At 52.2% G+C, this 27,687-nt stretch overlaps 3 protein-coding genes across 31 annotated transcripts in view, besides 1 other annotated feature; 1 reads left to right on the top strand and 2 right to left on the bottom strand.

Annotated features, from left to right (window-relative positions):
• Positions 1-11,892, bottom strand: part of DUOX1 (dual oxidase 1) — a 35,581-nt gene extending 23,689 nt beyond the window's left edge. Inside the window, exons 1-15 of one of the 8 annotated variants that reach the window (NM_017434.5) lie at positions 11,788-11,892; positions 10,224-10,415; positions 9,862-9,968; positions 7,939-8,022; positions 7,577-7,741; positions 6,595-6,782; positions 6,211-6,412; positions 5,938-6,104; positions 5,476-5,536; positions 5,261-5,357; positions 3,872-3,962; positions 2,718-2,820; positions 2,287-2,459; positions 816-991; positions 476-594 (exon numbers count right to left, since the gene is read on the bottom strand). In NM_017434.5, coding sequence (NP_059130.2) covers positions 476-594; positions 816-991; positions 2,287-2,459; positions 2,718-2,820; positions 3,872-3,962; positions 5,261-5,357; positions 5,476-5,536; positions 5,938-6,104; positions 6,211-6,412; positions 6,595-6,782; positions 7,577-7,741; positions 7,939-8,022; positions 9,862-9,919 — 1,684 coding nt within the window. In that variant the 5' untranslated portion in view covers positions 9,920-9,968; positions 10,224-10,415; positions 11,788-11,892. Of the gene's footprint in view, positions 1-475; positions 595-815; positions 992-2,286; positions 2,460-2,641; positions 2,821-3,871; positions 3,963-5,260; positions 5,358-5,475; positions 5,537-5,937; positions 6,105-6,210; positions 6,413-6,594; positions 6,783-7,576; positions 7,742-7,938; positions 8,023-9,861 lie in introns of those variants that run through there. The other 7 variants (XM_047432691.1, NM_175940.3, XM_047432693.1 and 4 more) reach the window with 7 other exon arrangements.
• On the top strand, positions 12,007-24,520 carry DUOXA1 (dual oxidase maturation factor 1). 21 transcript variants are annotated; one of them, NM_001276264.2, is made up of 11 exons: positions 12,007-12,063; positions 12,240-12,426; positions 12,752-12,868; positions 18,843-19,018; positions 19,644-19,701; positions 20,665-20,799; positions 21,081-21,294; positions 21,566-21,783; positions 22,521-22,739; positions 23,817-23,982; positions 24,077-24,520. In NM_001276264.2, exons 4-11 carry the CDS (start codon positions 18,872-18,874, stop codon positions 24,369-24,371), a joined length of 1,452 nt encoding a protein of 483 aa, NP_001263193.1. In that variant the 5' UTR covers positions 12,007-12,063; positions 12,240-12,426; positions 12,752-12,868; positions 18,843-18,871; the 3' UTR covers positions 24,372-24,520. The 21 variants fall into 21 exon arrangements, with proteins under 21 accessions (NP_001263193.1, NP_653166.2, NP_001263195.1 ...); NM_144565.4 differs by having other exon boundaries at positions 12,007-12,124; positions 12,271-12,426; XM_011522183.3 differs by lacking the exon at positions 12,007-12,063 and adding exons at positions 12,547-12,682; positions 12,982-13,049 and having other exon boundaries at positions 12,339-12,426; positions 22,521-24,520.
• Positions 23,465-27,560, bottom strand: DUOXA2 (dual oxidase maturation factor 2). 2 transcript variants are annotated; one of them, XM_017022180.2, is made up of 6 exons: positions 27,134-27,560; positions 26,030-26,087; positions 25,628-25,762; positions 25,157-25,421; positions 24,581-24,795; positions 23,465-24,170 (listed from the first exon to the last, which is right to left on the bottom strand). In XM_017022180.2, exons 1-6 carry the CDS (start codon positions 27,278-27,280, stop codon positions 23,977-23,979), a joined length of 1,014 nt encoding a protein of 337 aa, XP_016877669.1. In that variant the 5' UTR covers positions 27,281-27,560; the 3' UTR covers positions 23,465-23,976. The 2 variants fall into 2 exon arrangements, with proteins under 2 accessions (XP_016877669.1, NP_997464.2); NM_207581.4 differs by having other exon boundaries at positions 25,157-25,370.
• Positions 23,718-23,917: an enhancer, noted in NCBI's record as "active region_9349". NCBI's record gives its function as "activates an Ori minimal core promoter by ATAC-STARR-seq in GM12878 lymphoblastoid cells {active_cell/tissue: GM12878}" and the evidence as "EXISTENCE:reporter gene assay evidence [ECO:0000049][PMID:35858748]".

Genomic DNA, 27,687 nt, shown 5'->3' with positions numbered 1-27,687 from the left:
GTGGGGGCACTCTGGGTAGCTGAGGGGAAGGGGCTGCCTTGGGTAACAAGTGGGGTAAAAAATGAATCCCAACCTCCATCTCTCCCTCACACACAGAAGTGTACACACACACACACACACACACACACACACACGCTTCCCTCACTGCTGTAGGGTTGGGATATCCTCACTGCACTGAGCCCTCCTAATATTATACCTAGCCCGAGCTCCATCTCAGCCGAATGTGAACCTCCTCACCAGCTCTCTCTGAGTCTCAGTTCTGCCCTCACTCAGCACTTCCTGGAGTTCTGCAGAGGGGACCCTACACAGCTGCAAGTGGTGGCCCTGGCACCTGGAGTTCCCAAGGGCAGAACCACAGCTCACTCCCCTCTTGGAGCACAGAGATTGACGTTCAGCCACATTGAGCCAAGCCCAGAGCTGAAGAGGGACGAGGCTCCAGACCCACCACTCCTCCAGCCACCCCTTGGCCACTCACCTTTATGCCAGACAAAGACATTGGGCTGCAGAGCACTGGGGTCAATGTTGATAACAGCGACCAGCACGTCCTGCAGGGTGGTATTTCGGATTTCTTCAATCTCCTTCTTGGAGAACAGCCTAAGTTGGAGTAAGTAGAAGTCACTGGGATGGGAAGGGGATGCAGGCCTCCAGCAACCCCAGGCCCAAGGACCCAGGTGAGAAAAGAGACCCAGAGGTGTTGGGAAGTGGGTGGTGGGCTGGCTTGGAATCAAGGGCTCATGGGGGCTGTCTAAGGCCAGAAAGAGGGTCTGGGGCCCAGGCCGAGGTAGAGCCTGAGGCGGAGGCCCAGCACGCCTTACCCATTCCTGGTGTTCTCAAACCAGTAGCGGTCACCATCCCGTAGCCGCACAAATTGTTCAAGGACGATGGTGCTGAACAGAGGTCCAGGGTCCCGGTGGCTCTCCAGGAGTCCCCCAGGGAGCAGCTCTAGCCAGGATAAGTCCTGGTTGTACAGGGCAGCTGTGGCCTCCAGTACCTGGAACCAAGAAGGGGCAGAAGTAAGAGAAAGGACACGGCACCCACCCTAAGGCAAAGAGGTGGCTCCCAGGGATTAGCCCCAGGGATGATAATAATAAATGACAGTAACAGTAACTCACTCCTATACAGTGCTTATTATGCCCCAGGCACTTCTCTGAGTGTTTTACATAAGTGAACTCCATTTATGGGAACCCTCTCACACATTCAGCTGCCTATTTTATAAAGTAATAAAACAGCCAGCCAATCCGCATTCATAACTTGTTCTTGAAAAGGTATGAAAGTTGAAGGGACAAAATCAGAATGTGCAAAAGTTGAATGGCAGAATGATGTGTTATAAAAGGTTTCTATTCTTTAGAACTAAAATTTTTTTTAATCAAATGCCTGATTATATATTGCCTTTTGGAGACAGTTTTCAAAAACATATCACCAGCATTTTCTACCTGACCTTTATTTTAGTTTTCTTTTCTCCACAGTGTAAATAGCACTTGACCAGCTTAATCCCACTGAGGCCCATTTGAAGCTAAAGATTTGCTACTTTTGGTGTGCCTGGTGGTTCCTATCTATATATTGATTTTATAAAGTTTACGAGCCCCCATGCTCATATCACTTCTTTATTGGCCTTTCAAATCCCCACTTTCCAATAATTTTATAAAATAGTAAGGGCAAAATGCAATAGAATAGGCACACAACTGTAGAAACACTGCTGTGTCAAGATGGTAAGGTATCCCAATCTGGTCTCTTGGCTAGCAGCTGAACAGGACCCCTGTTCAGCACCATCATCCTTGACCAATTTGTGCGGCTGTGGGATGGTGACCGCTACTGGTTTGAGAACACCAGGAATGGGTAAGGCATGCTGGGCCTCCGCCTCAGGCTCTACCTTGGCCTGGGCCACCAGTCCAGGTGGTAGCTCAGGGTGTAACAGCTGACTCCTGAAAGGTGGCTTAAACATCGGTGCAAGAAAGCACAGATTGTTCCTAAGTCAAGGACCTTCTATACCCACTCAGGAGGGTGGAGAGAACAGTAAATAAGATAGTGACTATTAAGTGCCTAGCAAACAATAGATGCTTAATACACGCTTGCTGGATCTGAACAATCCGAGTGCAAAGCCAAATCTTGCTGGTCTGGTAATCTTCATCCTGATATGTAATATTGGGAAAAGTGATCTGGGTAAGCCCTGCCCCTCCCATTAGGTGCTTGTCTCTTGTGCTCAAGTTTCACTGCCTATCTTCCATGTCTCAGGCCCACGTGCCTTGTCCCTCCCGCCCTACCCTCTGGGTCCTGACCCCTCCTCACAGTGTCATTGCTCCGGGAGAGTGCAGGGTTGATGTCCTGCCAGCGGGTAATGGGAGACAAGCCCAGTGCTGCCCTGGCCTTGGTGTAAGAGGGCAGGCCCAGATCCCGGCCCCGCTGCAGGCAGCTGGCCAGGTGGTCTGTGCGGGAAAACTTCAGTGGCCCAGGCCAGAAATCTGGAGACAAGATACCAGACAGTCTGAGGGAGCTCAGGGCCACCACAGCAGTGTCCAGTCCAGGCCCCAAGCTCCAACCAGCCCCAGGAGACTTGAGCCAGAAGGAGCCATGGTCAGCATGTCAGAAGCTCTTTCATCAGTGAGTGCAGTGCAGGCTCCCAGCCCCAGGCACCCCCTCATACCTGGTTCTGGAAGTCCAGCTGAGCCTCTTCCCAGAGGCCAGGAGTTCACAACCTGCAGGGACAGCCTCAGACTCACCCCGCACATCTTCAACCAACACATGGTCCTCTCGCTCTGCGATCTGGGAGGCCATGCCCAGCAGCAGTGCATCCACATCTTCAGCACTTTGTAGGCTTGGGTGCTTTATAGGTTGGGGGTGGGGAGGAAAGGGGTGTGGTTAATGGGGTCAGAGGTTAGACAGCCGGCTCCCTCCACACCATCATCCTTATCCCTGAGCCCACCCAGTCCTGCTGTTTGCTCCCAAACCGGTGGGACATTCCTCTTCTGCAGGTTGATTCCCCACTCAGGGTGAGGGGTGTCCCCTCTGTCAGTGCTGCCTGACAGAGGTCTATACAAGCACAAGGGATCTTAAAATTTTACTTTGACCTTGGGATACTTGACAGTGTGGTTGGCAAAGTAACCAGAAGATCTAGGTCTTAGTCCTCTGTTACTAACCAGCTGTATGACCTTGGGCAAGTCACAGGCCCTCTCTGAACTCAGTTTCCTTCCCTTAATAAAAAGGGACTCTGATGAGGGGGACACTGAGTCCTCTTTCAACTCAGCTCCAGGGCTCTGATTCTATGGCTTCTTTTTTCTTCCTCCCCACTCCCTTCCCCTTAGTAAACACTTTACACAAAGTATCTCATTTTGCTTTAAATTCACAATCAATGTTCTTCACCCATGCTGGCCTGATTTGGATGGATGGACAATCCCCAATAATCTCTAGGAACCCCTGCTTCCTCCCCACCCCCCTCACACATACGCATTCACACACTGCCCGGGATGTGTGTCTAATGGGATGTTTCCTTGGGGCAAGTGAGACTAGTTGGGGTACTCCAAGGCCTACAGGACGCCCAAAGCTGTCGAAGGAGAGGGAAAACGTGAGAGGGAGCAACGAAGGCGGAACCATACCTGCACAGGTCCCACTGGCTTTCCCACAGCCCTGAGGTTGGGGTGGTGGGTTGGCTTTTGGCCATGTTCAGCTACCTGGTCACCTCAGACTTTGTAGGGGAGATGCCTGAGGTCCTCCAGGCTGCCTCCTTCACCCCAGCCTATCCCAGCTACCTGCGTCAGCCTTACTGACCACTTTCACCATGCACTCACACACACACACACACACACACACACATACACACACACACATAAGCATGCACACACACACATCCACCACATATGTGGCCCCCAGCTCGGACCTCACGGCTCCAGTAGCTGTTGCAGACCCGGAGAGCTCTGGAGACACTTGAGTTCCGATTGATGACCCCCTGGAAGTGGCAGCTGGCATTTCTGAAATGCAAGGAGCAGGGAGATGGTGATTGAGATAATGGGGTTATAATGTCAGGCATCAGTTCTGGTCTCTGAGGCGGTATCCAGGGACCCCAGGCCATCGTCTTTCCGAGGTGGTGTGTGGTTCGGACCTTAGCACATCCTGGAGGGTCTGACTTTTGGAAGGTCCCATCTACAACATCAGACCAAATATCTAAAATGTACTCATAGCTCATTAACACACACACTCTCTCTCTGACTCTCTCTCAATATATGTATATACACACACATATAAAATATATATATACACAGTTATATGTACAATATATGTGTACATATATACCTATTTAAAGGATTCAAAAATTGTTCTTCTGAAACTACTTGTCTATGAATAACTCAATTGTCTATTTCTCAGACATCATCAGGCATACCCCAGAGATTATTCCAGAGTAAATCTAATCTATGAATTGTTTTAAATTATAAAGCAATTGTAAAAATATAAATGGACATGCTTTGTTTCATATACATATACATACATATACATTATTTAAATATGTGTCTTTTTTTTTTTTTTTTTTTTTTTTGAGATGGAGTTTCACTCTTGTTGTCCAGGCCGGAGTGCAATGACACGATCTTGGCTCACCGCAACCTCCGCCTTCTGGGTTCAAGCGATTCTTCTGCCTCAGCCTCCCGAGTAGCTGGGATTACAGGCATGCACCACCATGCCTGGCTAATTTTTTTTTTTTTTTTTTTTTTTTTAGTAGAGACGAGGTTTCTGCATGTTGGTCAGGCTGGTCTCTAACTCCCGACCTCAGGTGAACCACCCACCTCTGCCTCCCAAAGTGCTGGGGTTACAGGCGTGAGCCACTGCTCCCGGCCTATGTCTTTTTAAAGTTCCCTTTTCATTATTTTGAAGCCAATATTTTCCTTCAGATTGCACACATTTTAGAACCCTCTGCCCCCAAAAGGTTGCAGGCCCTGGGCTCTGTGATTATAGCTAAAAATGTCCCCAGTGTAGTGTCAAGACATGAGGTTTAGACCAGTGGACTTTGTGACACCCTCTGAACCTTTATTACTCTATATTTAATGGTGGGGGGGAGGGTAATATCTACACCAGCAGCAGGAGAATGGAAGTAAAAATACTTAAAAACCACAGTGATGTATCTTTTAAAACAATTGTTTTCTTCCCCTCTCTATCGGTCTTTCCCTTGGGGACACTTCAGACTGATAATCCTGTACAGAGGGCTCCTGAGGGCAGATTTTCCTCAGTTGACAGCCCCATCCCTCCCAGCACACACACCTTTGAGCCCCTCCCTCACCTCATGTAGACGCCAGGGGGCACCATGGTGGACAGGAACTGCTCAGAGGCCGCCACGAACTCTGAGGAGATGCTGGGGTCCAGAAATGGCCGGTATCCTGGGGAAATAGGAGAAGAGAGGACAGAAGAATTTAGCCCTAAAATCCCCAACGTAGTCCCCACCCCACCCCGCAAGACACACGCAAGCCCTCCCATCCTCCTTCCCCGCTCCCTCACCTGTATACTCCGGGAGTGTTTTCTGCAGGAAGCTGGGCAGCCACTCATACACAGCGATGTTCTGAGGGGCAGAGAGGGGCGAGGGGAGGCACGAGTTGGATGGGGAGGGACCTGGAAGGGTCTGAGCCCAAGGACGGCTTCCGTGTGGAGATGAGGACCAGCCAGGGTCAGTCATGGGAGAAGCAACTCAAACAGGAGCAGTGTGAGGCCTGTCCCCACAAGGAACCAGGGGATTTGAGGGAGTGGGGGGTGGGGAGGTGATAAATAATCATCACCAGCCAGATTTCTCCTATAAACAGCGCGTGCCTCCCTATCATTTACAGGGGCTTCCCTGGACCTCGGCTGTCTGGGGAGGGGTTTCTGGGTGGCGGTTGTCCACAGATGGGGAGCTCCATGGGGCAGCGGAGTCTCCCGTGGGCTTGCACGCGGAAGGGAGGACGTCGCGGGGCGCGGACGGCTGACCTGGTAGGTGGCGATGACCCTCTTGCGTGCGTGCTGGAACAGCTCCTCGTCCTCCCAGTCTGGGTGCTGGCGGGCCAGCCTCTGCGCCCACAGGTTGTGGTAGCGGAACCAGAGCAGGCCCAGCGCCTGCAGGAAGGGTTCCCGGTTCCCTCTCTCTGCCCCGAAGGCTGCATCCGACGTGGGGGCGCAGGGGAGGAGACGAGCGGTAGCGTGATCGGGGGAGCCCACACTCGCAGACCCCCAGCCGGCCCCGTCCCGCCCCTGTGGCCTCACCGTACAGCCCCCGGGGCCCGTTCTGCCCGGTGGCGGGGTCGGGCGCCGCCCACATGAGCAGGGGGTTCTGCGAGTCTCGGGGAAAAGCGGGGTCGGGCCCCGACGCCAGCTGTCCCCTGGAGAAGCTCCGCAGCGCGTCGCTCCAGGAATGCGAGGAACCATAGATGGCGCTGCCGTCCAGCCAGCCCGTCACCTGGTTGGCCTGCGGGGCACGCGGCGGGTGAGCCCGGGTCGATGGGCGGCGGCGAGCTAGGGAAGGCCGGGGCCCGGCGGGTGTCCGCGGCTGGGGAGTGGGCGCCTCTCCCCTCCAGGCCCTGCCAGGCCCGAAGCCCAGGTCCCACCTGGCTGGGGTGCGGTCCCTTCCCGCCGCCTTCCCCGCCTCACCGGGTCCCGGGGATTGCTGGGACTCCGTCCGGTCTCGGGGTCCCAGCGGCTTCTCTGGAAGGGCAGCACCACGTCCCCGCGCTGGTCGGGGTCGAACATGGGGTCTCCGGGCGGGATGCGAATGTTGAGGAACTCGGCGGGGCAGCCGGGAGTTTCCACGCTCACCAGGTCTGAAAGCACGTGATAGCCTGCGGGCAGTGCAGGAGGGGGTGCTAGGGCAAGCAGAGGGCCACTTTCCTTCTTACCCTAGGTATCCAGTTTCCTTCCCTCCCCTGAAGCTTCAAAAGACTCAGCAGCCATTATGGGCAAGTCCAAGCCCTGACCTTAGGCACTCCCTCCCAGTTGTTTGTCTCTTCTGTCCCTCTGTGCCTACACCTGATCCAAGCTGTTGTCGTTGACAGTTTGGCTTTCTCCTTGGTAACTGGGAGGTGCCCTGTGAGTGTGCCTAGGCAAACGGGCCGGCAGCACCAGCTCCAAAACGCAGCAGGAGCCAGGCATTCCTGATGGACCAGCCACCAATCCTGTCACTGGGGTCAAGCCATCCTAGCACCCCCACTTTGACTTCCCCTCAGTCCACTCTGCCAGAATCAGAACCCTGCCCTGAGCCTGTCCTAGAAGCCATGGGGCAATGCCTAAGAACAGGGTCCCACGGAGAGGCCCTCCCAGATTATTTTCATGTTTCTGCCTCTACCAGCCCCTTACCCCCACCAACAACCCAACGAGGAGGGATGCCCCTTTTCCCTAACCCCACCCCTCATCTTTCTGTGTGGGGCAGATTTCTGCCTCCCCAACCAGAGTTCACTTCAGCATGGATCCTCTCTCCACCTGCTTCTACCCCTACCATACCCCACTGCCTCCTCCACCTCTCACCCTCATCCCTTAGGCCTTCCATCACTTCTCTCTCATCCTCTGACCCCTCTTCACATGCAGAGGTGTCCAGCCGACCCCACCGGCTTCCTTCCCCAGAGGTTGAAGTTCTCACCAAAGAAGACCCCCAACACTGTGCGGTTTCTCAGGGAGGCCAGCCCTGCAGGGCCCCTTGAGATGGTGTTGCTAAGGTCTCGGGGGTTGGGCAGGTGGGGTTCTCCCAAGGGCTGGTACACGCCATCTGCATAGCTGGCTGGGACCAGGCGCTGCAGCCGGGAGCCTGGGGTAGGAGGGGTAAGGATAAGGATGAATCTTCAGGGGGCATTCTTGACCCCCTCTCTCCCAGGCTTTCCTCCATGTCATGGATCCTAAAACCTTGGAAATGGATGGCCTTTGCTGGTACTTGCCAGCTCTTGCCCCGCAGCACTCAGTACCCCCCTGGCCCTGGGGTTCTATCCCCACTTGGCTCTCACTTACCTTTGCTGCCCCATCTGTGCTCCATGAGGTTGTTGTACCACCCATCAAATCGCTGCACCTCCCACGAAATGGGGTTCTGAGCTCCTGTGTGAGAATGGAGGGAAGGGGCAGCTGGGCAAGTCAGTGCGTGAGAGGACAGGCAGGCCTGCCGGATATGGGTGCTGTGAGCCTGGCACTTGGAGCAGCAGAAAGTGGATACCTGAAGTGGATGTGAGAGGTAGGGTGCAGAGGGAAAAACCAGGGCAAAGTAGTGTCCAAACTCAAGCCAGATCTTTAAGCTGCTCAGTGGGGGAGACATGGCAGGGAGCCAAAAAGCAGTGGAGCAGGGAGCAGAGTGTGCTGACAGACGGCCTCAGAGAGGGAGAGGGGGCTGGAGGAGAGCAGTGGTGATGGGGAATAGGATGCAGGGGACTTTACTCCCCTTAAACTTCAGCTCCCTGAGGGGACACAACAGGACAGAATCCATCCCCAGCCCTAAGACACCACACAGAGCAAGAGCCAGCCACACTCCATACCGGAGAAGGACATGTCATTCTGTGACCCATCCCTGGGCAGGGTCGGTGTGGTGAGGGGACTAGTCATCTCTGGCTGAGCAGAGCCCAGGGCAAGGGTGTGGTGTTGCTACTGCTTTTTTCCCCAGTTTCTTGGGTAGGACCAGGGACTGGACTGGTGATGTGGATGACTTTGCCCTTTTTCTGGGGCATCTTGTCCCCCATACAATTCCTCCTCTTGATCCTGTTGTATTCTCCAAAATGAGGGTCCAGGAGGGAGCACTCAGCTGCTGGGGAAAGAACTGAGGAATGAGGGACAGAGGGAAGATCCAGAATGGATAATGGAATCAGGGATGGAGCAGGGATCTTTCTGATCAGTAGAGCAGATAGCTGGCCTGATTCTTTCCCCCAAACTAGGAGTCTATAGGCCTGGGGCTTCTTCTCTGCTCACTTCAGAGAACAGACGCACACATTCACACTCACTCAGCAGAGAGTCAGGGGGGAAAATGACTCAGGGCCTGATGTTTGAGCAAAGAACCCAGCTAAGGTTCAAGACTTTGGGCAGGGCCACACATGTGATCTCTAAAATAAAATGAACCTGTGGCACATAAAGGAGAGAGCCTTTGCAGGACAGTACAGGGAAAGCGCCTCTTGGGGATAAGAGGTGAGAGCTGAGGGAAAAAAGGGAAATCCAAAGCTAGGGAAAGAAGAGGGCTGGAAGGAACGTGGATGTGAGTAGCTCTGGCAAGGGAGAAGTTGTAGGGAAGGTGTCACCATCCTGTCACCTCCAGCCAGGACAGATCCTTCTACAGGTTTTCTCTGCTTTCTGCTTTTGCATCTCCCATCCCCAGTGATCAGGGACTTGATCTTTTAACTTTAACTGTGGCACTGTAGGCCCACTTCCCTCCACAGAGATCCGGACTGCAGAGAGCAGCCTCAGATTCCAGCAAGAAACTGTCTACTGAAGGCAGCAACATGAAACTCTTATGGAAGATATTGCTTTTGTTTTTCATCATAATGTTTAAACATATTGATGACTCCCCTTCAGCTTTGGGTCCAATCTGACCCCAAGATCCTTTATTGTCTTATGTGTCTAATCAATCTTTTCCTATTTTGAGTCAGAGGCCCTCACTTTATGGAAAACAAGAGAAGAGAGAGGAGAGAGAAAGGGCCCCCAAACTGTAAGAATAAAAGAGAAAGTGCTGACAGCAGCTGAAGGCTCCCTAATTCTGTGTATTTGGGGATAATTTTCATTCCATTATCCATCTATTTCTTCAACAGCTAGAAATGAGCAACTCTCATGTGCAGGGCACTGTGTCAGCTAGAGACTAAAGATACAGATGAATATCAAATGGATCCTGTCCTTGGGGGAGCCCAGAGGATGCTGGGTTCCTCTGCTCCTAACCATGCTTCTCCTCCAATCTGTACTCACCCAGAGGGGTCCATGCCCCAACCAGAAGTGTCCATGCTAGAGCCAGGCAGAAGCCCATGATGAAAATAATAGGGGCTCAGGGATTAGAATGTCCCAAAATGGAGACCCTAGAAAAAGACAGGCAAAGAATGAGCCCCAGCTACTCAGAAGAATCAGGTGAAAGACTCTGCAGGCCTCTGTGAATCAAGGCCTGGGGCTGGGCCAAGGTCACAGTAGGTAGCAAAGTTCAAGAGACTCACTCTTTCCGAAAATTCTTTAATTGATTCGGCAAATACTTCATGAGCACCACTACATACCAGCCACTGACATAGACACTGGAGATTAAGTGACGAACAAAACAAACAGAAATCCCTGGTACATACCTTCATGGACTTTACCTTCTAAGATTAGTTGGAAAACCCTGCTTTGGCCCAGCACTCTGCAGAGTGTGTTCCTTAGGCAGGGCCCTGCTTGGGGATCAGGAGACTAGGCTGAGGTCTCAGTGCTGCTCCCAGTCCACTGTGGGATCTTAGATAAATCACTTCTCCAATCTGATCCTTGTTTTCCTCTTCCAGCTATGGGAGCAAATATGCCTGAACTGTTTACTTCTAAGCATGGTTGCCAGAATCAAATGTGAGAAGGAGGTTTAATTCAAAGCAAGTGACAGGTGTTGGGCAAATGTGATATAGAGAGGGTAGGCGGGAGCTTGTCTCCTCTGGTTGGATCCAGAAGGGATGCACTACCAGGTGCTCATGTATTTAGTGCAAGCTTCCTGCTCTCTCTCTCTCCACCCAGAGTCAACAGGGAAACAGAGGCAGCAGAGGACTCAGGCTGGGACTCCTGAGTGCGAGTAAGGAGTACCTAAAGCCGGCGAAGACCTCCTGAAGGCAACCTGGAGATTGGGGTTAGGATAGAGGAAGAAAGGAGCTCAGGGAAAGCCTCATCCCCAGCCAAACATCAGGGTTCCTGGATGGGTTGTCTAGAGGAGAGAACCCAGGGAGTGACCTCATCCCTACTCCATCTCCTATTAAATGAAAAAACCTAGGCCCTGCCATAACTGGAAAGCTCAGTATCACCTGCTGCATTTCACAGAGTCTGTCCAGGTGCTGGCCTTTAATAGTGCATGAAGAGCTGGGCTCTGGATGGTTGAAGCTGTAAAGCTGGATATACGGAAGTAGCCACAGCGGTCCTTCCCTGATCCCAAGATGTCATTCCCCTCCCCCGCCACCACCATGTCTTCAGGATCCTGGGCCTCAACGCTAATGTACCACTCAGCCCCTAAGGGCATGAAATGGGCTTTCAGACCAGGCTGTGTGGGGATGACCTGAAGAGGAAGGTGGACATGCTTAATAACCACTCCTTGTGGGTGGGTTGCCCTTAATGATTTACACAACGATGGGGCAGTAACTTCTCAACAACCTTGACAGGAAGGTTGCCCAGGACAGGGCAGTGAAGCCCCAGGCAGAGCCAGCGGCAGAACCAGAGAGAGAACACAGGCCTGCCTGTTCTTGCCCCACATGGCTGCTTTTCCAGCCTGAAGCCCTAGAGTGGTGACCCTGGTGGCCCTGAGGTGGGAGGAAGATGGGTCAAGGCCATCTTGGTCCTAAGGGAGGGCTGAGGGGGAAAGCTTGGATCCTAAAGCCCAAAGCTCCCTCCCTGGTATGTTGTGCTGGTGCCAGGAGAAGAACCCGCAGGCCCAGGCAAACTAGGCCACCCAACATTCCCAGGTCCCAAAGAACCCAGTCTCTCAAAACCTTGATTGGGCAGAGGACAGGCCCTAACAGGACCGGTTTTAGCCTTAGGATAAGATCGGAGGCGCAGGGGGCTAGCATTCCCCTTTCTTCCATAACGTGGAGGAGCTGCGGCTCCCCCGCCACCCTGCCCTTGGAGCTCCCTCCCCCGGAGCGCCCAGGCCCGCGGGCCGGGAAAAGCCCTCCCAAATCTGACCTGCGGCCACGGCGTCACCAGAGCCCGGGACTGCAACTTGTCTCCGGCCTGGCTGCCAGCTGGGCCCGCGGAGCCCTCTCTCGTCCGGTGCCTCTGCAGCTCTGCGCCGGGACGGGCGGGGCTGGGGGTGAGGAGGGGAAGGCACGGCCCGGCTCGGCTCAGCCACGGGGCGGGGCGCAGTGGGGCGGGATGGAGTCTGGCGCCTGGGGAGGCGCGGAGGTGCTTCCAGCGGACGGCAGCGCGCGAGGTGAGACGGCGAGGGCTCCCGGGGCGCAGGTAGAGATGTTCCGTCGGTGCCGAAGGCCCGGCTAGTGCGGTTGTGTGGACGGCGAAAAAAGCAAGTCCGCCTTCACAAGTCCCATGGGGCTGGGGAGAGGGTGGGAGGCGGAGAGGGTATGGGGAGGGGAGACTCTCCTCAGATCCTCTCGACACCGTCGGGTCTGGGCTCCAAGTCCAAGGCCATCGATCACCTGCCACCCACAGACCAGGCCAGGCGTCAAAGCAAGTCACCCATCCGACCTAAACCCCTCTAAGACCCCGGAGTCACGTCTCCCTCCGGGGATCCTCGTGAGGTCTTGGGGGTCCCACCGCCCTGCGAGCCGCGCCCGCGCCCCGCCAGACCCGGAACTGCGTCGCTAGGTTTGCGCTGGAGCTGCTGGGATTGCTGGGCATGGGTGGGGGGGCGCAGAGGAGGAGGGGGGATTGGAGGGACCTCTGCGGAGCTGGCAGACCCCGGTACTACTGTCCTGGCGCACCCAGCCCTTCTCTGTACCAGGCCGGGAGAGGGAGGCGGCGCCGCAGAGCCTCGGGTGCAGTCTGAGAAGTTTGGGAGTGACTTGAAGAGTGACTGGAAGCACCCCAGACCCGGTTTGTCCGGTCACAGCCGGGTCCTTACGTGAGTTAGGAGAGGAGTGGGGGTCGGACGGGAGCCCCACTGAGAGTAAGGGCGCGCGTTTGTTCACAGAACGTCGGGACCTGGTTCCCTCTTTAATCACACCCCCGGGGGCGCTTCGTGTGAGGTTCCACGGGGGAAGGCGAGAGGCGCAGGCTGCCACACACGCACTGTTTGGAAGAGGGGAAGGTAGGGAATAGTGGTCCGGGTGTGGGTGGTGGGGGATGCGGCTGCTTAGATCTGTGCGGTCCAGGTGATTTTGGAGGGGGTCTTGAAGTGCTTGCTCCCGCCCTGGCACCTAGGGCTGCACTTCCTGCTTTCATCCAGACCAAGTTCGGATCAAGTGGGAGTTCTTCAAAGAGAGAGTTTGGTAAGAAACTGGGGAGGCAAGGAAAACCTCTTAAGGCCATAAATGCCACAAGGTTTATAGACATCGAATCGCCATCCCAGTTTAACTCGAGTCTGGATACTTTGGCTTGCATGATTCTGCACCCTTGAATTCCTTATCCACATCAGCCCTTACTGGGGAATCCTGCCTCCAATCCACTTTTCAGATCTTGTTCAATTTCTCCACTTAACTCCTATTTTTGTGCAACAACACACATATACATTCATACACAGATACACACGTACACACAGACCCCTTCCTTGAAGAGGAAAGTCTAGCACAGGAGTTCCTGACAGGGTCCCCTTAGCTAGCCACAGCTGTAAACGTTTAATGGGGTCTACCCCAATCAGAGAAAAAAGCATCACATTGCAGTAGCTGTGCATTACCAATCAGAGGTCTTGGCAACTCCAGCCATGTCACCCACTCCCCACTTGTGGAGAATTAGTGGCCCTTACTCTATAGTTTCCAGCAGATGGGGGAGGTGGGCAAGGGGGAAGACTTCAGGAAAAAAGTCCTGTCAGGCTACAAGAGAGGCCACAAGACGTTAGCACATAACTTTGAATGAAGAAGGCTGGAGGTTGTTCTAGGCTGAATTTTCTTAAAGATTGTAACTTTATGTTTTACCCACCTCTCATACACACATAGGAACTCCACTTCAACCTGTGGTAGGTAAGGATTGGGTAATTGTGTCTATAATAAGATTGAGCATAAGGAAAGTCTTCAGTACATAAGGGAGCCTGGAAAGGGAGGATGCTGCCTCCTCCTCCCTAGGCCAGGTGAGAAAGGAGGACCCTAAAGTGTGGGAAACTCCCCCCACCCCATGAGAAAGCATCCCAATTTTGTCACAGGGGCCTGGGATGAAGTCTATATTACTGAGAATGACAGTCTGGGTGGTTCTTGCGTCTGTGTCTCTGTTTATCTAAATTTGTAGGTGCATATTTGACTGTATCTTGTGTCTGCTTATTTATATCAATGTACACTGTGCATACATCCTAGTCATGGTGATGAGGTAGGGGAGGAGTGGGTCAAGTTAATATTGATATGAGATTTTCTCACATTAAAACTAATTTTACTGTCAGATGTTACTTGACGAGCCAGAAAGAAAGATGTTCCCCAGGGAAACACAAGCGTTGTAGGAAAAGCAGGACTGTGGGGTGTGGGGTCTTCTCATTTCTGTCCCACCTCTTCATGCATGAGCCCTGTTAGCTTAATAATGAAAACAAAATTAGGGTCAGGGTCATGAAAAATTAACTTTAAATTAGGCAATGCAAATAAAGGAAGACCTAAGTTATGAAATGGAACAAGAAGAAATTAAGAAAGGCAAATTTCATTTACCAACTGTTTTTTTGCTTCTGTCATCTTTAATAAATATGACATTTTGGAGAACTGGAAATAAGTTAACATTGTTCTATACTTAAAATACGAAAAGCCTTTTGTTAGTGTTTCTTTTAAGCACATGTTAATAGAAATGAAACATTCTTGTAAATTTTTTTATAACCTCCCTTTAAAATAAATGCAGGAATAATATTTAACCCTGACCAAAATACATTATATTATCTCTTATTCACATATATTAAAAATACTCCTTTTTGAACTCCAGCGTATCACATGTGTTCTTGCTGTTAGCCTCGCTTTATCTTCTATCTTATTAGCCAAGATATTTTACATTTTATAGACCTTCCTCCTATGAACTTTTATTTAAAAATATAATAGCTTCAGTCTACATGTCATAAATAAAGAATTCTTACGTCAGTAAACATCTGCTTTAAAATAAATACCACTATCACATATTTTATAAAATAATTTAATACACGAATTCTTAGTTACTCATTTCAGCTAAGATTGAGATGTATGTTTCTGATTCAATTAAACATGAAAATTCATGTTTGGGTCTTTGTTAGTCTTGGAGACTCTAACTATTGGAAGAGGCTTTCTGAAAATTTTGAGAAATTACTAAAAGTTGACAGGGTTAGTCAAATCCCTTTGTGCCCAGTCCTTAGCTCTGTATTGGTGACACTCAGTTAATATTGAATTATTAGCACAGGGCAATAAGGGAGCATAGCTCCCCCTTGTGTGCAAAATCAGAAGCCACCTGTGGGGAGAGGAACTCATTCATATTTATTCATTTGATCCAGAGCCTGATTAGTATACTCTACATCCAGGGGATGCAAAGATGGAAAGATGAAATCTCTGCCCTCAAGGAGATTACAGTCTAATTGGGAGACAGATGTTCAGACAATTAGAGTACAATGTAATCATTGTTATCATGAAGGTATGTTCAAAATGCAATCAGAATGTTCAAAGTGGGAACCTCTACATTGGCCCAGTGGCATCAGAGGAAACTTCACAGAGGAGGGAACACAAACTGAGACTTGAAGGGTGAAAAGGCATTTGCCAAGAGAGTGAGTGCATTCCAGGCAGAGGAAATAGCATATCCAAAGGTATTGAAGGCTTGAAAGAGCGTGTCAGATTCAGGGAGAGGTCAGTCATTCAGTATGGCTATAGACTAGGCTGGGCAAAAGATGGAGACAGTATAGGTGGAACCGGGTTATAAAGCACTTTATGTGGGAAAGTAAGAAGATGAGATTTTAGCCAGAGCAGAGAAGTGAAATGATTATATTGGCTTACTAGAAAAAAAATTATTTTGGAACCAGGTAAGAGAGGATGAGCTTGGGTTAGGGCAGAGGCAGTACAGAAGGAAATGCATGGATAGTTTCAAGAAATATTTAGGAGGTAAGATGGTCCAGGTGTCTGGCTTATTTGATTGACCAGTGGTGATGTTGCCAAACATACAAAGACAATAGAATAAAAAGCAGGGCAGAGACAATGAATTCCATTTGAGGGGTTGTTAAAATTTCAGGCATCAAGGGAACATCCAAGTGAAAATGTCCACAGGGTGGTTGGCCCTTTTGAGTTTGGAGCTCAGGTAGGAGGACTACCTGAAGACATTTGAGAACCATCAGCCATGGGAATGGATGAGATTGCCCAGGGAATCTGGAATACTGCTAAAAGAAGAGAGCCACCACAGATTCCTGGGGAGCATCAACATTTAACAGGGAGGAAAAAGAACTAGTAGAGGAGCCACAAAGAGATGGCCAAAAGCAGGAGCCCCTGGAGAACATGGTGTGATGGAAGTGTAAGGAGGTAAAGTTTGAGGAAAGGGGGCATGGTCTGCAGTGTTAAATACCACAGAGAGGTCAAGAAGCATGAAAAGTGAAAACTGCCCTTTGGATTTAACACTTAGTGACCTAATGGAGAAGGCAGGGATGAGGAAAAGTCAGATTGTGGTAGGTTGAAGAGATAAGGCAATGGAAATGCCAATATACACTGTTTTTTCAAAAGCCTGGCTGTGACAGGAATAGAGTAAAATAGGATGGTAGCTGGAGGGGACCAAGAAGATCAAGGGAGAAGGTTCTTTTTTTGTGTGTTCTTAAGGTGGGAAAAATTTCAGTATACCCTTGAGAGAAGGAGCCAGCAGAGAAAAAGAAGCTGGGACGCTATGATGGGAAGGGGGACAACTGATGATAAAGGTGGTGGAGAAGGCAGGCATGAATGGCTAGAGCCCAGGAGGATGGATTCGCAGAATAGGAGAGAAGAGAGACGCCTATTCCTCAGGGATGGGAGAGTTGAGTAGTTAAGAAAAAGCAAAAAAGTTCATGTTAAAACTGACACTCAGGGATTAAGTGACTTGCCCAAAATACAGGATTAGAAGTTAAAACTGTCTGTCTTTCTGTCTCTTTGCCTGACACCATGCTACTCTCACAGACAACACAAGAAGGTGGCCAGCTTAGAAGGAGAGAGGAAGGCTGGGAGCTAGGGCATATTAGGAGGATCCCAGCATTAGAACTAAAAGGGACCTGGGGATTATGAAATCCATTTACAGATGAAGAAACCAAGGACTCAAGAGGTTGTCGCTTACCTGTCCAATATGACAATATTAGTAAAGAACAGAAACTAGTCCCAGAATGGATTCCAGCTCAGGGTTCTCTTCAAAAAAGATTGGAGAGGCCGGGCACGGTGGTTTATGCCTGTAATCCCAGCACTTTGGGAGGCCAAGGATGGTGGATTGCTTGAGATCAGGAGCTCAAGACCAGCCTGGCCAACATGGTGAAATCCCGTCTCTGCTAAAAAAAACTTAAAAATTAGCTGGGTGTGATGACCCGCACTTGTAATCCCAGCTACTCAGGTGGCTGAGGCATGAGAATTGCTTGATTCTGGGAGGCGGAGGTTGCAGTGAACCAAGATGGTGCCACTGCACTCCAGCCTGGGTGACAGAGCAAGACTCTGTCTCAAACAAACAAACAAACAAAATAATGGAACATAAGAACTTAATAAAAAATTTAAATGTACTCCATTTTTTATTTACTTAAAATAAAAAAAGAGATTGAAGAAAGAGATAAATGGAGTAACAAAATGCCCCCTCTTTCCCAACTTGATAGCTTATTTGTTTCCAGTACTATTCTCAGCACTTTATATACACAATCTCATTTCATGCTCACAATGATGCTTACAAGATAGACATTACTATCTCAAATTTTTAATAAAACTGGATGTCTGTAAAGGTCAAGTAACTTGCAAGAGGCAGAGGCAGAATTCAAACCCTCTGGGGCTACTTGACTCCCAAGCTTATTCTTTCATTATAACGCTTAATAAGACAATGTGTGGTCAGACTAAATTATGGAGCCTTCTGGGCAAACTGAAACCCCAGTACAGATCACACTGCATGAAATGAGGAAAACTGGGATCATTGACTCTAAGATGCATTTTTTTTTTTTCACATTCTGACATCTCTGAAATTAGGTACATCTCACCAGCAATGGTGGCCATGGTTTAATTGGCAAGACTTTTTTTCCCCTTTATTTGTGCTAAAATAGTAGTGTGTCATGCAATCCATTCTGTCTGAGATTTAACTAAACACATTAAGTTCAGGTACCATTTTCCCAATATCCTGTCTGCAAAAGAACAAATAAGAGTCAAACAAGTTCTCAGATCAGGGGATGGGCAGAGAAGACCACAGCTAGCGTTTGAGCTGAAACTTGGCCTGGGAATTTGAATCAAAGAGAAGGGCCATTGTTGGTAATGTGTGGAATAGAAGGACATCTGGCCCCAGCACTGCCTGATAGAGGGCAGGTGCCCCTTCAGTGCTTATTTAGGTGAACTCAGTGAAGCTCAACTGTTCTGCAGTTACCAGAACAAGAGCCAGGGTGCTTGAGAAAGCTGGACAGACCTGTGTGGGCAGTGCTAGGTCTGGAATTCAGTCCTCTGATGATGTGGCTGGATTATATACTTAGCAGAGAGCTGCCTGGCCTTTGTTCCTTTGGGGACTGAGGAAGAAAGCCAATCTTTTTGTAATCTGTACCATCTTTCACCTTATGCCTTCACCTGATAATATAGCTCCTTTTATGTTCTGTGATCTATCTGTGCTAGGGGCCTGAAGGAGAGAGAAGAGAATTTTATTTCTTGAGACAGTCCCAGAAGAAACAGAGAAGCCCCCAGGGTGGTGGTAGCACTGACTTATGGAACCTGGAGGTTAAGAGAGGAGAATGGGGCAACAGAGACTGATGGCAAAGACCCTCATTCTGTCACCTAAAAGATGGGGAGATGGATGGCTGAGGGGCAGTGGAACGGTGGTAATAGCAGAGTCTGATGATGCACAAAATGTGAGCTCCAGAGAAGAGGAACCTAGTCTGGCTCATTCTGTGCTGTATCTCCAGCACTAAAAACAGTGCCAGGTACATTGAGGGCATGCAATAAATGTCTATTGTTGTTGTACAGCATTGCCCCCCCTGCACCACCTCACCAAGATGGCTACTTTGGGACACACATTCCCCTTCTATGCTGGCCCCAAGCCAACCTTCCCGATGGACACCACTTTGGCCAGCATCATCATGATCTTTCTGACTGCACTGGCCACGTTCATCGTCATCCTGCCTGGCATTCGGGGAAAGACGGTGAGAAACCCAGTCCTGGAGACCCCAGCCCAGAGAGACCTCAGCCTCAGGCTGAGGGGTTCAGAGTCTCTGACTACAACCAGGCTAAGGAAGGAGACCCCAGTGCGGAGAAAAGATAGCCACGACCCCAGGCAGAAAGCTCCCCATTCATTGATTCAGCAGTTCACTATTGAGCGCTGGTGGGGCATGGTGGCTCATGCCTGCAATCCCAGAACTTTGGGAGGCTGAAGTGGGAGGATTGCTTGAGCCCAGGAGTTCGAGGCCAGCCTGGGTTTATAGTATAGACCTCATCTCTTAAAAAAAAAAAATAGCTGGGCATCATGGTGTGCATCTGTAGTTGCAGCTACTTGGGAGGCTGAGGTGGGAGGATCACTTGAGTGGCTGCAGTGATATAAGATCGCATCACTGCCCTCCAGCCTGGGCAAGAGAGTGAGATCCTGTCTCTAATAAATAAATAAATGCATACATAAATACATAAGCACTTATTATGTGCCAGACACTCTGATTTCAATTGACCAAGTGATCTCAGCTTTAGAATTCCCGCCCCTCCCCCAAGTCTGGAAACAGGAAGGGTAGATGTGGAAGGAAGGCACTCTTTACTTAACCCACCTACCTTGTGACTCAGAGGCTGTTCTGGCTGCTTCGGGTGGTGACCAGCTTATTCATCGGGGCTGCAATCCTGGGTGAGTGCGAAGTGCAGCTGACTTGGGCTGCTGCCTCCATCCCTTCAACTCCCTCAGCAGCCTGCATCTCCTCTCCTTGTTTCCCCACAGCGGTGGGCCCTTGCTTCAGGGTGGCTTCCAGACCCTGCCCATATGCTTCTCTCACCATGGCCTTATCTCCCCACTCTTACCCTTGCCTGGAGAGGTGTCACCCTGGAAAACAAGCTGGATGCATCTCCTCAACCTTCCTAACACTTTTATTCGGGGGAAAGGAGGTCAAAATGAATGTCTGTGGGGAGAGGGCCCCAGAAAGGAAGGGAGGAAATGGGAAACAGCTGTTTGCTTTAGTTTGGTGATGAGGCAAATAGGAGAGATGAAAGTCTCCGTGAGGCCGGGCACAGTGGCTCATGCCTGGAATCCCAGCACTTTGGGAGGCTGAGGTGGGTAGATCACCTGAGATCAGGAGTTCGAGATCAGCCTGACCAACATGGGGGAAACCCCATCTCTACTAAAAATACAAAAAATTAGCTGGGCATGATGGCAGACACCTGTAATCCCAGCTACTCGGGAGGCCGAGGCAGGAGAATTGCTTGAACCCGGGAGGCGGAGGTTGCAGTGAACCAAGATGGTGCCACTGCACTCCAGCCTGGGAGACAGAGCAAGACTCCGTCTCAAAGAAAGTTTTTGTTGAAGCTATCTGCGTTTGCCTTGCCTGGCATGGTTTTGGTTCATGTTTCCTTCCCAGCTCCCTGAGTGACTCTCCCTAAAGCAGGGAGAAAGGGAGGGAAGAGGTAAACAGAATATGGCCAAGGGAAATCCCACACATGTGGTTGGCAGACTTACCATGAGCCAGACCCTGGCTAGTTAACGGGTATCCAGTTATGACCAAAACAGACATGGACCCCTTGTATTTCTCCTTCTGACTCTAACCTAGTAATGCCCAGTCATCTCTGAGTTCCCATATGTCCAACTCCCCAACCACAGCTGTGAATTTCAGTTCTGAGTGGTCTGTGGGCCAGGTCAGCACCAACACATCATACAAGGCCTTCAGTTCTGAGTGGATCAGCGCTGATATTGGGCTGCAGGTCGGGCTGGGTGGAGTCAACATCACACTCACAGGTGAGGGAGGGCTCTTACCTGTGGTGGGGGGGAAGGCTCTGCCATCTTTGGGATCTATGTTTGGTGTGGTCAAAGAGCTATAGGATGCCTGGCACAGGGGCTGGGAGGATGTGTGAGGTGGGAGGTCAGAGGCATGGTAGGAAGGGAAATTCAGGGCCTTGGAAGCTACCTTCTCTCAGTTGAGACCACTTCCTGTCCCTCTGCCCAGTGTGGGTGAGTCCCTACCTAGGCCCCACTCTGGCCCTTGGGTTCCTGCTGAGCAGAGCTGCCTTGTGCCCTAGGGACCCCCGTGCAGCAGCTGAATGAGACCATCAATTACAACGAGGAGTTCACCTGGCGCCTGGGTGAGAACTATGCTGAGGAGTATGCAAAGGCTCTGGAGAAGGGGCTGCCAGACCCTGTGTTGTACCTAGCTGAGAAGTTCACTCCAAGAAGCCCATGTGGCCTATACCGCCAGTACCGCCTGGCGGGACACTACACCTCAGCCATGCTATGGTGAGGATGGGAAGGAGACGGGGTGGAGGCCCTGGTAGCCTAGATTCAGGAACAGGGTTTCTACCCATCTCTCCTCCACTCATGTGGGTATCTCAGGTGGGGTGGCCTGGCACCAGTCCCCATGGTGCTGGCTTGGGAAGTCCATGGGAAGGAATCCCTACCTCATATCTTTGGGTCACTCTTGGGTCCCTGAACCTCCGCCTGGGCCCATCCAAATTCACCAGCAGGTAGAAGTACCTGGGCCAGTCCTCACTGGGTCCTGGCTCTCCAGGGTGGCATTCCTCTGCTGGCTGCTGGCCAATGTGATGCTCTCCATGCCTGTGCTGGTATATGGTGGCTACATGCTATTGGCCACGGGCATCTTCCAGCTGTTGGCTCTGCTCTTCTTCTCCATGGCCACATCACTCACCTCACCCTGTCCCCTGCACCTGGGCGCTTCTGTGCTGCATACTCACCATGGGCCTGCCTTCTGGATCACATTGACCACAGGTAAGACCCAGCCCTAAAGACAAGCACTAGAAGTCTCAAGGCCAGGGAGGGAGGGCCTGGGGGCATCATGTCGGTAGAGTTGAGGGTCTGTTCCTGGAGGCCAGGATGGCTTTGCCCTCTTTAAAGTCCCACCCTCTTGTATCTCTTATCTCCTGATTTTCTCTCCCCAGTGCCACTTCCCCCCCCTCCTCAGAGATGCCCACTCCCTTGTATCTTCTCTGTCTCTGTCATCCCCTAACTCTCTTCACCCAGCTGCTTCTAAAATCTTCCAACCCCCTGTCCCCTCTTGCTTCCTCCAAATACCCTTCTCTGGGTCCCCATTCTTAAACCCTTCCCTGTCCTGCCTTACACATCCCTAAATTGTCCTGCAGTCTTATTCTCCTCTCCTGTCCCGCTGTCTACTCCCTCATGTGCCTCCTCATGCCTCCTCTGTGCCCTGCCCTTCCCCAGGGTTTTTTTCTTTTCTCTCCCTATTTTCAGAGTTCTCCCTCTCCCCCTTTCTCTCTCTCTCTCTCCCGGGATATAACAGAAGGAGCACTGGGCTTGGAGTCTGGAAACTTAGGACAACAGAGCCACACCAGCCACATGCCCCTCAGCCAGTCACCTCTCTGAGCCCAAGTTGCCCTGAAGCAGGGGCTCTAGGCTTCCCTTAGAGTTGTTCTGACACTCCCAGGGGAAGATATCCTCGGCAGGTGTTACTAGCACTAAGGTGGGACAATTGTTGCCCTCATCTCCAGGACTGCTGTGTGTGCTGCTGGGCCTGGCTATGGCGGTGGCCCACAGGATGCAGCCTCACAGGCTGAAGGCTTTCTTCAACCAGAGTGTGGATGAAGACCCCATGCTGGAGTGGAGTCCTGAGGAAGGTGGACTCCTGAGCCCCCGCTACCGGTCCATGGCTGACAGTCCCAAGTCCCAGGACATTCCCCTGTCAGAGGCTTCCTCCACCAAGGCATACTGTAAGGAGGCACACCCCAAAGATCCTGATTGTGCTTTATAACATTCCTCCCCGTGGAGGCCACCTGGACTTCCAGTCTGGCTCCAAACCTCATTGGCGCCCCATAAAACCAGCAGAACTGCCCTCAGGGTGGCTGTTACCAGACACCCAGCACCAATCTACAGACGGAGTAGAAAAAGGAGGCTCTATATACTGATGTTAAAAAACAAAACAAAACAAAAAGCCCTAAGGGACTGAAGAGATGCTGGGCCTGTCCATAAAGCCTGTTGCCATGATAAGGCCAAGCAGGGGCTAGCTTATCTGCACAGCAACCCAGCCTTTCCGTGCTGCCTTGCCTCTTCAAGATGCTATTCACTGAAACCTAACTTCACCCCCATAACACCAGCAGGGTGGGGGTTACATATGATTCTCCTATGGTTTCCTCTCATCCCTCGGCACCTCTTGTTTTCCTTTTTCCTGGGTTCCTTTTGTTCTTCCTTTACTTCTCCAGCTTGTGTGGCCTTTTGGTACAATGAAAGACAGCACTGGAAAGGAGGGGAAACCAAACTTCTCATCCTAGGTCTAACATTAACCAACTATGCCACATTCTCTTTGAGCTTCAGTTCCCAAATTTGCTACATAAGATTGCAAGACTTGCCAAGAATCTTGGGATTTATCTTTCTATGCCTTGCTGACACCTACCTTGGCCCTCAAACACCACCTCACAAGAAGCCAGGTGGGAAGTTAGGGAATCAACTCCAAAACGCTATTCCTTCCCACCCCACTCAGCTGGGCTAGCTGAGTGGCATCCAGGACGGGGGAGTGGGTGACCTGCCTCATCACTGCCACCTAACGTCCCCCTGGGGTGGTTCAGAAAGATGCTAGCTCTGGTAGGGTCCCTCCGGCCTCACTAGAGGGCGCCCCTATTACTCTGGAGTCGACGCAGAGAATCAGGTTTCACAGCACTGCGGAGAGTGTACTAGGCTGTCTCCAGCCCAGCGAAGCTCATGAGGACGTGCGACCCCGGCGCGGAGAAGCCATGAAAATTAATGGGAAAAACAGTTTTTAAAAAACAAAAGAAAAAAAGGTTTATTTACAGATCGCCCCAGGAGACTTTCCCTGGTGCCTGCGGATGTCCGAGGCCTCGCGCCAGCAGCGCTCAGTGCCCTTCCTGGAGCTCTCCTGGCCCAGGCCTGGCGGGCACTGCTTCCCGGCCTGCGATGTCCCAAGGCGGGGAAGGAGTCCAGATTGGGTCCCCCTCACAGGTTAGTGGTGATACATTTTAAGTCTGGGAGAGCGGCCTGCTTGTGCAGTGGGTCGCCGAGGATAAGAGGTGAGCCCCCTCTCTCCTGGCTGCAGTCCTTGGCGCTTTGGTCCAGAAGGGTGCGAAGAGCGCTGGGCCGAACATACTGGAGACTCACCACGGCCCCTCCGAGGAAGAGGCACAGGACGCCTGTGGCGGTGGGGATCGAAAGAAAGGAGGGCATGTGGAGTCAGGGCTATGTTGCCCAGGCTGGTCTCGAACTCTGGCCTCAAACGACCTTCCTGCCTCGACCTCCCAAAGTGCTGGGATTACAGGCGTGATGCCCGGGCCTTCTTCCATCTTTTGGAGCCTACCCCTTGTGTTACCTCCCGCCACACACCTCTAATCTGAATTACATGAAACACGGCAAGACACCAAACCCTTCTGAGCCCCCCACTTTTCATCTGTAAAATGGTCATAACAGTGCCTGTTTCTGCGAACTATTGAGAGGGGCAAATAGGGTAATAGATGTGAATTCATTCTGTAAACTGGAAAGTGCACACCCGGTGTGAATCCTGTCTCCACCCTTAGCCCCCGGGGCCCATTCTCTCGGTCCTCACCGGTTGCCAGCGTGACCCAGAAGGCGGCGCCGTACTGAGTGGTGAGCGCGGAGGAGCCTAGGCGGAGCGGGCAGAGCGGCACGCTAGAGATGGAGGCCAAGGCGAAGACCCCGAAGAGCGCGAAGGCTCCGGTGGTCAGCAGTGCCAGGCCTCCGTAGAGCGGGGCCGGCGTGGAGAGCAGCACGTTGGAGAGGAGCCAGAAGCAGAACGCCACCCTGCCGGGGAGTGGGGGGACCCGCTGTGAGCGGGCTTCTCCCAGCCCACCGGGGTTCCCACAGCTGCGCTCTTCTTTATCCCTACCCCAGCGTCAAAGCCAGGGACTGGGATGGCAGCGGTGCAGGGGAATTCCCCGGGGGAGAAGCGGGCTCCTGAGGTCCAGGCGGTGGCTGGAGTCTCTCCGGATTCCGTCTGTGCAGATCTCGTGGATCTTCTAACCCGCGAGGCTGTCATGCCCACCCCGAGCGCGTCGGGTCTGGCTGCAGCTGCTCAGCGCCTCCGAGGCCTGCATCCTCCCGCTCATACGGCCCAGCTCCTGGCACACACACACGTGCACACAGCCTTCCCTCCAGCACTTACCATAGCGTGGCCGAGGCGTAGTGTCCCGCCAGGTGGTACTGGTGGTACAGGCCGCAAGGGCTACTCGGTGTGAACTTCTCCGCCAGGTAGAGCACTGGGTCCGGCAGCCCCTTCTCCAGTGCGTTCGCGTACTCCGCGGCGTAATTCTCTTTCAGACGCCAGGTGAACTGCTCGTTGTAGTCAATGGTCTCGTTCAGCTGATGCACTGGGGTCCCTGTGGGGTGAGGCGGGCTCATGGGGCTGCCCGCGGTCGGAGACCTCGCAACTAAGCGGATTCAGACAGGAAAGTGGGGGTGTGGCGCTCTCGGCGGGAGAAATGGGTTCGGTGGTGGTTGGAGAAAACGCAAATCCACGAGGACCACAAGCTATTTGAGCTTGTGGGATGTGAGAGGCCCTCCAGCTATCCCTGACACACTCACCTAACCGGGGATCTCCCAGCTCCAGGAGTTCATTTAGCCCCAGCCCCCTCACCTGTGAGTGTAATATTAATGCCCTCCAGGCCCACGAGCAGACGGACACGGGCTGTAACGCGCGCTGCGCTGAAGGCTTTGTAGGATGTGTTGGTGTTCACTGTACCCACGAACCATTCTGCACTGAAGTGCACAGCTGTAGGGAAAGGCACACGGTGGGGGTGGGATGAGGGTGGGAAAATGGAATTAGAGAGTGGTATGGGAGGTGGGACACTGCAGAGAGATGGGGACTTAGAGGTCCAATGTGGTTGCATGGTAAGGGCCAAAAAGTGGGCCCTAGAAGGAGCTGGAGAGTGGGAAGAGGGAGCAGAAAACCAACCCCAGTTCCCTATTGTCCCAGGTGCCCTCTGCCCACCTCCTTCCTCACCCCGTCCTCTCCCCATGGGCTGCACCACACACTCACCCACAATTTCTGCGCCTATGAACAGACTGAGAAGAACTCTCACCAACCAAAACCAGCGCTGCAGGAATAGGCACCCGGGTCAGGCCTGAGCCCTGCCAAACCAGAGTCCCCAAGACCACCCTTGACCCCACTTCACCTGGATCTTTAGTTATATCCAGACTTTTGAGACTAATGTTAGGCACGCTTTTCCTGCAAGTCCCTCTGGGCTACTGGCATTTCTGATATTTTGTGACCACGCACTTTCACCTCCCTAGCCCCATTTCCCATCTACCCTAACAGCACCTCCCCTCCACCCCCACTTCCTGGCACTCTTCCACCACCTTCACTCCCCTAGCTGTCTGGCGCCTGGTCCTGGTTCTGCCTCCTGGTCCAGTCACTGCTTGGTGAGGCTCAGTGAGTCCAGAAGTGCTAGGCACGCAGGGGTCACCTCCCTCAGAAGAGGGAGGCCCCAGCCTGATCTCCGAGGGGAGGAGGTGGGAATGCAGATACTCCTAGGTGCACCAGTTCCAGGGAAAGCAACACAGATTAAGATGCAGAAAAGCTGGGTCCTCCCAGAACTGAAAAATGCACAACCTAGGTTCTGGGAGAGGGGGAAAGTCTAAGACAATGCACCCAGTTGGCTCCAACTTCTAATCCAATGTGGGAGTCTCAGTCCTGAGGATGAGGCACCCATACACATGTGTCTCAACCCAGTGCAAAGGGGAACACTGCAGTCTGAGCTGCTGGCATCTGTCCTTTTGGCCTGAAGGTCATCACCCACCGGATGGGATGAGAGTGCAGCTTTAGTCCTGGGAGAGGTGGGAGGCCCTCCAGCACAAGAAGCCTAGACTGTTCCTCAGGATTACTGGACTGGGTGCCCATTCTCTGCAGCAGCCTTCCCAAGGACCCAGCTGGGGTCCTTCTCCAGGATATCCTGGATGGGGAGCTCTCCCTATCCTTGGAAAGGGGTGCTTGCTGCACCAGACTCCTGACTTCACTCCACCTGAGCCTCAATTCGACTATTCATGGAGGCTCTTGTACAGTCTTACCTGTCCTGGGTCCCTCAGGAGACAATCTGCCCATGAGCCTTCCCCCACTCTACCTGCACTATGAGGACACCCTTACCGAGTGGCCACGGATCCCCGGCAAGATGAGCAGGAAGCTTGCTGCTAGAGCCAAAAACACTAGAATAACGATGAGCAGTGGAACGCTGAAGCCTGCGGCATGCCGGGGCTGGGGGTAAAAAGGCAGTACGCCGTTCCACAGGGTCATGCTGCACGCCGGCCGAGTGCTGCACGCAGGCGGGCAGGCAAGCCAGCAAGCTGGGGCTGCCTGGACGCGGGAGAGCGCGTCCTTGGCGTCTCTTTGCGTACAAGGCTGGGACCGAGTGGGCTGGTGAAGTCTGAGTCCTGCACCTCTCCGTTAAGGAAGCGTGGAGGTGGGCTGCTCTCAACGCTCTGGGGTTGGTACCGACAGAGTTTTTCTAGCCGGCGAGCGAAACTATTTCTCACTGTCTGTAGCCGTTACTTTCCTGGTTCTGCGGGTTGGCGCTGAGTTTGGAAGTCGCGCGGGACCCCTTTTATAGCAGCGTGGGCGACGTGCCACACGGGTGTCCCAGCCCAGGGGCTGGTCTGAGCTGGAAGAGGTTGTGCAAATAAGGGCCCCACCTCCACGGCAGG

The sequence above is a fragment of the Homo sapiens genome, chromosome 15, assembly GCF_000001405.40.
Source record: "Homo sapiens chromosome 15, GRCh38.p14 Primary Assembly".
Lineage (NCBI taxonomy): Eukaryota > Metazoa > Chordata > Mammalia > Primates > Hominidae > Homo > Homo sapiens.
This window is presented reverse-complemented; position numbering and strand designations above follow the sequence as displayed.

Coding starts and splice junctions, on each gene's coding strand:
- DUOXA2 (XM_017022180.2), bottom strand. CDS start 27,280: ATGACCCTGTGGAACGGCGTACTGCCTTTTTACCCCCAGCCCCGGCAT. Junction 24,796..25,156: donor TACGCCTCGGCCACGCTATG/GTAAGTGCTGGA, acceptor ACTCCCCGGCAG/GGTGGCGTTCTGCTTCTGGC. Junction 24,171..24,580: donor CTGGGTCACGCTGGCAACCG/GTGAGGACCGAG, acceptor CCACCGCCACAG/GCGTCCTGTGCCTCTTCCTC.
- DUOXA1 (NM_001276264.2), top strand. CDS start 18,872: ATGGCTACTTTGGGACACACATTCCCCTTCTATGCTGGCCCCAAGCCA. Junction 19,019..19,643: donor CTGGCATTCGGGGAAAGACG/GTGAGAAACCCA, acceptor CTTGTGACTCAG/AGGCTGTTCTGGCTGCTTCG. Junction 20,800..21,080: donor AGTCAACATCACACTCACAG/GTGAGGGAGGGC, acceptor CTTGTGCCCTAG/GGACCCCCGTGCAGCAGCTG.